General features: G+C 40.9%; 4 annotated features.

Annotated features, from left to right (window-relative positions):
- Positions 129-178: an enhancer, noted in NCBI's record as "active region_29802". NCBI's record gives its function as "activates an Ori minimal core promoter by ATAC-STARR-seq in GM12878 lymphoblastoid cells {active_cell/tissue: GM12878}" and the evidence as "EXISTENCE:reporter gene assay evidence [ECO:0000049][PMID:35858748]".
- Positions 189-248: an enhancer, noted in NCBI's record as "active region_29801". NCBI's record gives its function as "activates an Ori minimal core promoter by ATAC-STARR-seq in GM12878 lymphoblastoid cells {active_cell/tissue: GM12878}" and the evidence as "EXISTENCE:reporter gene assay evidence [ECO:0000049][PMID:35858748]".
- Positions 7,218-7,717: an enhancer, noted in NCBI's record as "NANOG-H3K27ac hESC enhancer chrX:100067583-100068082 (GRCh37/hg19 assembly coordinates)". NCBI's record gives its function as "activates a minimal SCP1, AML or CMV promoter by ChIP-STARR-seq in naive and primed H9 embryonic stem cells {active_cell/tissue: H9 hESC(naive and primed)}" and the evidence as "EXISTENCE:reporter gene assay evidence [ECO:0000049][PMID:30033119]".
- Positions 7,718-8,219: an enhancer, noted in NCBI's record as "NANOG-H3K27ac hESC enhancer chrX:100067081-100067582 (GRCh37/hg19 assembly coordinates)". NCBI's record gives its function as "activates a minimal SCP1, AML or CMV promoter by ChIP-STARR-seq in naive H9 embryonic stem cells {active_cell/tissue: H9 hESC(naive)}" and the evidence as "EXISTENCE:reporter gene assay evidence [ECO:0000049][PMID:30033119]".

Here is a 10,312-nt window from a genome sequence, read left to right as displayed (position 1 = left end):
CGGAACGGACGCAGAGCCCCTCCCCTGGAGACATTCTGTTAGCCGCAGGCGCGAGTTGCGTCCACCGGAGGGCTATATTCTCACTCCTGAGATTAACTCTGTTCCGAGCCAGATGCAGGCGAGTCCAGGCTAATTTGAAGGGTTTCAGCCTGCAGACTTCCTTCTTATTAATTTTCTCTTAGGTTGATGCAAGTACTCCTCAACCACAATAAAGGCGCAGCGGCTTTACCATGGTAACAGGGAAGTCCTTTGCTGACAACTGTGGGGCTTGCATTTTAGTTCCGCCCTATCAAGGGAGGGAAATGCTTGGGCCCGTCCCAGCAGCGTGCATATTATTTGCTAAACCTGTTCGTGTGTGGAGTGAGATGAGGAAAGGGCATGCCAGCCGAGAGAAGCATAGTTAAAGAAATGGGAGAGGTAAAGGGAGAACAGACCTCTGTCCTCGTGTAGTCCGTGGGTTCCATGTGCTTCGTGGTGGGGCGGTGCGGCAGGGGATTCTGGCAGGCAGAGTATCGGAAACAGAAAACGTCATTCATCGGTTTTTCCACACTTTGGTGCCCACGCGCCTGGGATATGGCATGCAGGGCAGGTCGTTGTATCATCCCGGAAAGGCAGACCCTGCCGGGGTTGGAGGAAATCCAGGGGGCACCTCAGGAGGACAGGGTTAGGGGATAAGCAAAGGAAGGAGCCAAGAGCGCTACCTTTGAGGGACTTGTCCGAAAAAGGAAGACGGTAAAATAGCCACGGAATTGGAGGCATGGACGTTTTTATTAATTCCACATGTATTAAAAGTATATGGGCCGGGCGCGGTGGCTCATGCCTGTAATGCCAACACTTTGGGAGGCCGAGGCGGGCGCATCACCTGAGGTCGGGAGTTGGAGACCAGCCTGGCCAACATGGAGAACCCCTTTTCTACTAAAAATACAAAATTAGCCGGGCGTGGTGGCGCATGCCTGTAATCCCAGCTGCTCAGGAGGCTGAGGCCAGAGAATCGCTTGAACCCGGGAGATGGATGTTGCGGTGATCCGAGATCTGCCATTGCGCTCCAGCCTGGGCAACAAGAGCGAAACTCCATCTCCAAAATAAAAGTATATGAAATATGATAAATATTTAGAAAAAATTAATAAGTGCTAGTTTACACCATGAAGCATATCACTTTAAGAAGTAATTCTGGTAAAGATGGAAAGTTTGAGAAGAGTATACCCATTTCCATGACTCTAGAGTCCCATTTGCAATCACTGTGTGACCAAGAGGACACCTTGTGTAATGGAATGGTCCAAAAGGAGATTTACAGCTCTGTAGAAGGCACAGTTTCAAAGAGTTTTGGTGTGTCATTGTTCCGTTGTGGTGAACTTTTGCTAAATGCATGTACGGCTGAGTATATTTCTAACTCAGTGTTTGGCAAACTTACATAAACAAAAGATTAACCTGGGGTCTTTGAGTAAGAGTATAGATTCCTGGGGCTCCACCCCAGCCCTATGGAATGGGACTCCAGGGAAAGAACTTGGGAATCGTTATATTTAAACAAGTGCCACTGGCGATTCTTAGGGTCAGGTAATTTGAGTAGCATTGTAGTTATTGAGGTAGCTTTATGGCAGCATTTAAGACACGCATGCTTTCTTATGAAATTTCCCTTAAAGTAGTTCTCAAAGTTCTCAACCCTTGTGGAGGAGCATTTTTGGAAATGTACAGTGGCATTTTCAGTTGTTGCAATGACTACTGCTAGGGGAAGAGAAGCCAGAGATGATAAATGGACTGCCATGTCCAAGGCAGTTCTACAGGATGAACCCCTCCCCCCACTGAATGCCAATAATGTCTCTCCCCTTGAGAAACACTTAATATCAGCCATATTAGACCAAATGGACCCTGGATCTGAATGCTATGTTGCACTGCCAGCCTTGCATAAATAATTTTTACTTTAGCCTTCTTACAACTGTGTAGCTGATCCCAATGAGTTAGTAATAATAAAAGCTAACATTTATTAAGCACTTGCTGTGTCCTCATTGTATTAGTTTTCTATTGCTGTGTAACAAATTTCCACAAACTTAGTGGCTTACAACACTCATTTGTTAGCTCACAGTTCTGTAGGTCAGAAGTTTGGGTGGACATGAGTGGGTTCTTTGCTTAGGATCTCACAAGGCTGAAATCAAGGTGTTGTACTCTTATCTGGAATCTTTGGGAGAAGAATCAGCTTCCAAGCTCATTTTTCTTGTTGGCAGAATTTGGTTGGCTGTGGTTGTAGGACCGAGGTCCTTGTTTCTTTGCTGGCTATTGGCTGGAGGGCTGTAGCTCTTAGCTCCTAAGGGCTTCTTTTTGGTCCTTACATGTGGGTTTCTACATCTCAGAGCCAGTGATGGCACATTGAAACCTTCTTATGCTGTGAATCTCTGACCAGAGATTCTCTCTTTTGACCAGCTGGGGAGAACTCTGCTTTTAAATGGCTCTTGTGTTTAGGCAAGGCCTACCCAGATAATCTCCCTGTATTAAAGTCAACTGTGCTATGTGAAAACCTAATCATAAGAGTAAAATCCATTATAATCACAGTCTTAGGAATTATGCAGGGCAAATACATCAAGAGGTCAAGAAATCTTGGAGCCAGTCAACTGTACCCATTTTATTGATAAACATGTCTAAAGAAGTTTCAGTAACTTTGCCTAGGTCCCACAACAAGCAAGCTAAGGCATGGTTTGAGCTCAGGTTGCTCTGGCTCCAGAGACTGCTTAATTGTTATATCTCCTGCCTCTCAATGTAACTGAGGAAATATGGATGGCTCAGCATATTTTGTCACTGTTTTTAGGAAAGAGTACAGAACATGTGACCTGGTGATGGTGGGTCCGTGGCTCATAACAATGAGCTACTCAAGAAAAGGGTGGGGGACTTAGCCAGGGCTTGTTCTGCTATCATCAGCCGTCTGTGGGAAATAGACTATTGATTCTGTGACTTCAGCAACCAACTTCACTCTACTGGTTATAAAAGAGGAGGTGTGTGCAAGGGATGTATCCCAAGTGCTTGCTTTTTTATATTTAGATTTCACTTATACACTGTGTGCTAGTGACTCCTGCCTCAGTGCCTGTCTTGTGAGAGTCTTTCCCTTCATTGATATACTCCCTGAGTGACAGCATTTCCTTTGCCTCCAGTTTATAGCAAAATGAAGACAGAAGGTGGGATGTTTCATGCTGTTGTTGATGTTATGACTGAGCCTCAGTTAACGATGTAGGTATGATATGAAAAGGTAGGGGGAACACAAGCAAAGAAGCATTTCTACAAAAAACGGGACTAAATATATAGGGTAAATGTTATTTGGGGCTTTGAATGGAGGAGAAAGGGAACCTAGTGGAGAATCAAAGAATTTGGGAGACCACAGTCATGATTTGTGGGGCACTGGCAGAAAACTTTGTTGAAAAGTCCTGAGTTCTTAACCAGTCATGTCGATGACACTAAGAATCTTGAGTGAGGTAAACGTAAGTGAAACAAGCAGAGATATTCAAGACTGTGAAGGCACAGAGACTTGGGTTCTTTCTCCCAGTCATAAAAGATTAAATTTCTAAGGCTGGGGTACATACTACTTCATGTTTGATCCATGTTTGAACCTCTTCAAAGAGTCATGGAATAAAATCCCTCATTGGTCTCGCAGGGGATATCTGGAAAGGCAGCAACTCCTGGATAGTTGTCATTGCATGAAAAAGGTGCCAGATGAGACTGGTAGCATTACCTGTGTTAAGAGAAATCTTCAATGAGCAGCGCCTGCAAGAGCTAAGGAAACTTGTAGCCAGAGAGCACCTGAATGCTGACGTGGATTCTGATCAATAACAGGATGAAGATATCAATTGGTCTGCTTTCTAGAAAGAAATATCATTCTTAAGTTCTGCACTGCTGCATTATCAGGCTGGTTCTACAGCAATGTCTATACTTTCTGGGAATATTTGAGGGTTCAGCCCTGTGGCTACTCTACAGAGAGTTGTCTAGTCCATCAAAACTGATCATGTTGTAGCATTTTCATTTTTTATTTCTTAGCTAATAGATTTTATTCTCAATACACACTGCATGCATTTCTTTTATTCCTTTCCCAGAATCCTGTTCCTTCAAAGAAGGTTCAGAGTTGTTCACCTGCTCAAAGGATGTGTTATGAGATATGTTGTTTGCTAGACGGCCAGGGAGTTCAACTGAATTGGAGGAAGATTTGCCCTATTCTTGGCCATGGCATGGTGACCTCTTATTACTGAATAAGGACTGCTTCAAAGCCAATCATTGGGTAAAACTAGGTAAGAGGAAGAAGTCTTTGAGATTTTGTTTTGTTTAAGAACCAGAACAATAGGATATTGTTGGCTAGCACATGGCATCCAGGGTTTAGCAAAATGAAGATGAGTATTCACCAGATAGCACTCAAACTCAAACAGTGTGCTGTTGGGTAAGTGTGGCTGGGTAAAGTGTGTGGATAATGGTATCAGATTGGGGAAAATGGAGTGATAATGACTAAGAAGAGCTAACATTTGCGAAGGGCTATATAGACTACAAGGCTTCTCTACATGGATCTCATTTGATTCTCACAAAACCCATGAGATCATTTTAGTATGTTACCTTTTTTTTGTAGTAAAATATAAATAACTTAAAATTTACCATTTTAGCCATTTTTAAGTGTACAGTTCAGGGTCATTAAGTACATTCATATTGTTGTGCGCCAGTCTCCACCATTCATCTCCAGAATTTTTTTATTTTCCCAAAATGAAACTTCATACCCATTAAATGCTAACTGCCCATCCCCTCCTCGTAGCCCCTAACAACCACTGTTCTACTTTCTGTCTCTATGAATTTGACTACTCTAGGTACATCATGTAAGTAGAATCATACAATATTTGTCCCTCTGTGGTTGACTTATTTCACTTAGCATAATGTCTTTAAGGTTCATCTATGTTATCCATGTGTCAGAATTTCTTTAGTTTTTAAGACTGAATATTTTATTGTATATATATTATATATAAATACACATTTTGTTTATTCATCTGTTAATGGACACTTGGGTTGCTTTCACCTTTTGGCCATTGTGAATCATACTGCTATGAACATGGGTATACAAGTATCTCTTTGAGTCCCGGCTTTCAGTTCTTTTGTGCCCAGAAGTGGAATTGCTAGGTCCCATGGTGTGATGATTAGTTTTAGGTGTCAACTTGTCTGGATTAAGGAATAACTAGAGAACAGGTGAAGCATTATTTTTTGGTGTTTCTGTGAGTGTGTTTACAGAGGATATTGGCATGTGAGTGTGAGTGGACTAAGTGGGGAAGATTTGCCCTCAATGTGGGCAGGCACCATCTAATCAGCTGGAGCCAGGATAGAACAAAAATAGCAGAGAGATTTTTCTCGCTCTTGCAGGTGGGATACACTCTTCTCCTGCCCTTAGACATCAGCACTCCAGGCTCTTTATCCTTTGGACTCTAGCAGCCCCCTGGGTTCTCATGCCTTCAGACTTGAATGGGGCCATGCTACTGGCATTCTAAGGTCTCCAATTTGCAGAAAGCCTGTTGTGGGACTTATCAGCCTCCATAATCACATGAGCCAATTCCCCTAATAAATCCCCTCTTGTATCTTTCTCTCTATATATAGCCTATTGGTTTTGTCTCTGTGGAGAACCTTGACTAATATACATGGTAATTTTATGTTTGATCTGTTGAGAAACTGTCATACTCTTTTTGACAGTGGTTGCACCATTTTACATTCCTACAGCAATGCACAAGAGTTCCAATTTCTCCATATCCTTGCCAACATTTGTTATTTTCTGTTTTTTATAATAGCCATCCTAGGGGGTGTGAAATGGTATTTCATTATGGTTTTGATTTGTATTTCTCTAGTGGTTAGTGATGTTGAACATCTTTTCATATGTTTACTGGTCATTTGTATAACTTCTTTGAAGTTCAGGTTCTTTGCCCATTTTTAAATCAGGTTGTTTGTTTTTTTTGTTGTTGAGTCATAGGAGTTCTTTATATATTCTGGATATTAGTCCCTTATCACATATATGATATGCAAATATTTTCTCCTATTCTGTGGGTTGCCTTTTCACTCTGCTGATAGTGTCCTTTGATATACAAAAGTTTTTAATTTTGATGGAGTCCAACTCATATAATTTTAAATTGTTGCCTGTACTTTTGGTATCAGATACAAGAAATCTTTGCTAAATCTTGTTACGAAAATTTCCCCCTATGTTTTCTTCTAAGAGTTTTATAGTTTTAGCTCTTACATTTAGGTCTTTAATCTAATTTGAATTTGAATTAATTTTTGCATGGTGCAAGGTAAGGGTCCAACTTCATTTTTTTCTATGTGGACATACAGTTTTCCCAGCACCATTTGTTGAAAAGACTTTCTTTTCCCCATTGGATGGTCTTGGCACCCTTGTTGAGAATTATTTGACCATATATGCAAGGGTTTATTTCTGGGCTCTTTATTATTCCATTAGTCTGTATGTCTGTCTTTATGCCACATGGTTTTGATTACTGTAGCTTGTAGTTTTGAAATCAGGAAGTGAGAGACCACCAAGTTAAAAAAAATTTTTTTTTTTCGAAATTGTTTTGGTTCTTTGCGATTCCTTGAATTTCCATATGAATTTTAGGGTTGATTTTTCTATTTCTGCAAAAACATAATTAGGATTTTATTTAATAATAGGGATTGCATTGAATTTGTAGATCACTTTGGGTAGTATTGACATCTTAACAATTTTAAGTCTTCCAACTCATTAATATGGGATGTATTTCCATCTATTTGTGTCTTCTTTAGCTTCTTTCAGCAACATTTTGTAGTTTTCTGTGTACAAGTCTTTCACCTCTTTGGTTAAGTTTATTTCTAAGAATATTATTATTTTCAATGCTACTGTAAATGGAATTGTTTTCTTAATTTCCTCTTCAGATTGTTTAATGCCAATATAGATACATAACTCATTTTTGTGTGTTGATTTTGTATTCTGCATTTTTGCTGAATTCATTTACTAGTTCTAACAGTGATTTTGGGGAAATATTTACAGTGTTCTACCTGTAAGATCATATCCTCTGCAAACAGAGATAATATTACTTCTTCCTTTCCAATTTGGATGCCTTTTGTTTCTGTCTTGCCTAATTGTTCTGGCCAAAAATTCCCATGCAATGTTGACTATTATTTATCTTGGAATGTCTTAATTTGTCCCTCATTTCTGAAGGGCAGTTTTCCAAGATGTAGAATTATCTGTTGACATTAAAAAAAAAAAATTCCTGTGAGTTTCCCAACTGCGGAAGTGGGAAAGGTAGACCCTCCTCTCCTGAAGACACACCCCCACTGGAGAGGCTGAAGGTCTGTTTGCAGGTGAAGTTTCCAGCTTTACCTGGAGCTGAGTCAAGTTAGAGAGCCGAGTGAAATACAGAGGTAGAGGACCCAGGAACTTGCTGGGACCCAAGCAGCCCATTCCTGCCTGGCACCACAGGGATCCATCGGCCAGAGGAGCAGGGGGTGAAACTCCACAGGGAGAAGGAATTCTCTAGCTGAACTTTGTAACAATTTGAATGTGGCGAGAAGCCTCCTGGCCAGAACTCAGCGGAGGGCGTGAATTGGGCATGCATACTTCACAGGCAGGGAGAAGAATTAAAGCCCTTTTCTCTCACAGCTGGGAGGCAGATAGCCTTGAGCAAGTTTTCAAGCCCTTCTCACTCTCCGCATGGAAACAGACTTGGGGCTGTTGGTCAGGGCACGGTGGGAATGAGACCTGCCCTTCAGTTTGTGTGGGAGCTGGGTGAGGCCTGTGACTGCCGGCTTTCCCCCACTTCCCTGACAACCTGCATGACTCAGCAGAGACAGCCATAATCCTCCTAGGTGCACAACTCCAGTGACCTGGGAATCTCACCCCCATCCTCCACAGCAGCCTTAGCAAGACCCACCCAAGGAGAGTCTGAGTTCAGACACGCCTAGCCCTTCCCCCATCTGATGGTCCTTCCTTATCCACCCTCGTAGTGGAAAACAAAGGGCATATAATCTTGGGAGTTCTAGGGCCCTGCACACCACCAGTCCCTCTCCACGCTACTACAGCTGATGCTTTCTGGAAAGCACCACTTCCTGGCAGGAGACCAACCAGCACAAAAATAGAGCATTAAATCACCAAAACTAAAGACCCTCACGGAGTCCATTGCACCCTCCGCCACCTCCATTGGAACAGGTGCTGGTATCCACGGCTGAGATACCCAGTAATATGACAATACAAGGCTCTTCCACACCCCCCAAAAATTACAGTACTTCACCAGCAATGGATCCAAACCAAGAAGAAATACCTGGTTTACCTGAAAAAGAATTCAGGAGGTTAGTTATTAAGCTAATCAGGGAGGGACCAGAGAAAGGCGAAGCCCAATACAAGGAAGTTCAAAAAATGATACAAGAAGTGAAGGGAGAAATATTCATGGAAATAGATAGCTTAAAGAAACCACAGTCAAAAACTCAGGAAACTTTGGACACACTTTCAGAAATGTGAAATTCTCTGGAAAGTCTCAGCAATAGAACTGAACAAGTAGAATAAAGAAATTCAGAGCTTTAAGGTCTATGAATTACCCCATCCAGCAAAGACAAAGAAAAAAGAATAAGGAAATATGAACAAAGCCTCCAAGAAATCTGGAATTATGTTAAATGACCAAACTTAAGAATAATCAGTGTACCTGAGAAAGAAGAGAATTCTAAAAGCCTGGAAAACATGTTTAAGGGAATAATCGAGGAAACCTTTCCTGGCCTTGCGAGAGACCTAGATGTCCAAATACAAGAAGCACAAAGAACACCTGGGAAATTCATCGCAAAAAGATATTCACCTAGGCACTTTGTCATCAGGTTATCCAAACTTAAGACCAAGGAAAGAATCTTAAGAGCTGTGAGACAGAAGCACCAGGTTACCTATAAAGGAAAGCCTATCAGATTAGCAGCAGATTTCTCAACAGAAACCCTACAAGCAAGAAGGGACCGGGGACCTATCTTCAGCCTCCTCAAACAAAATAATTATCAGCCAAGAATTTTGTATCCAGAGAAACTAAGTATCATATATGAAGGAAAGATACAGTCATTTTCAGACAAACAAATGCTGAGAGAATTTGCCATTAGGAAACCACCATTACAAGAACTGCTAAAAGGATCTCTAAATCTTGAAACAAATCCTGGAAACACATAAAAACAGAACTTCTTTAAAGCATAAATCATAGAGGACCTATGAAACAAAAATATAAGTTAAAAAGCAAAAACAACAAAAACCAAAGTACACAAGCAACAAAGAGCATGATGAAAGCAACAGTACCTCACATTTCAATATTAACATTGAATATAAATGGTCTAAATGCTCCGCTTAAAAGATACAGAACTGCAGAATGAATAAGAACTCACCAACCAACTATCTGCTGCCTTCAGGAGACTCACCTAACACATAAGGACTCACATAAACTTAAAATAAAGGGGTGGAAAAAGGCATTTCATGCAAATGGACACCAAAAACGAGCAGGGGTAGCTATTCTTAGACAAAACAAACTTTGAAGCAATAGCAGTTACAAAAGACAAAGAGGGACAGTATATAATGGTAAAAGGCCTTTCCAACAGGAAAATATCACAATCCTAAACATATAGGCACCTAACACTGGAACTCCAAAATTAATAAAACAGTTACTAATACACCTAAGAAATGAGATAGATAGCAACACAATAATCATGGAGGACTTCATTACTCCACTGACAGCCATAGACAGTTCATCAAGGCAGAAAGTCAACAAAGAAACAATGGATTTAAACTATACGTTGGAACAATTGGACTTAACAGATATATACAGAACATTTCATCCAACAACTGCAGAATAAAACATTCTATTCAACAATACATGGAACTTTCTCCAAGATAGACTATATGATAGGCCATAAAATGAGCTTCAATACATTTAAGAAAATTGAAATTATATCAAACACTCTCTCAGACCACAGTGGAATAAAACTGGAAATCAACTTCAAAGGGAACCTTCAAAACCATGCAAATACATGGAAGTTAAATAACCTGGTCCAGAATGAGCATTGGGTCAAAAATGAAATCAAGATGGAAATTTAAAAACTCTTCAAACTGAATGACAATAATGCCACAACTATCAAAACCTCTGGGATTCAGCAAAGGCAGTGCTAAGAGGAAAGTTCATAGCCCTAAACGCCTACATCAAAAAGTCTGAAAGAGCACAAACAGACAATCTAAGGTCACACCTCAAGGAACTAGAGAAACAAGAACAAACCAAACCCAAACCCAGCAGAAGAAAGGAAATCACCAAGATCAGAGCAGAACTAAGTGAAATTGAAATGA

This window comes from Homo sapiens, chromosome X (genome assembly GCF_000001405.40).
Source record: "Homo sapiens chromosome X, GRCh38.p14 Primary Assembly".
Taxonomy (NCBI): domain Eukaryota; kingdom Metazoa; phylum Chordata; class Mammalia; order Primates; family Hominidae; genus Homo; species Homo sapiens.
This window is presented reverse-complemented; position numbering and strand designations above follow the sequence as displayed.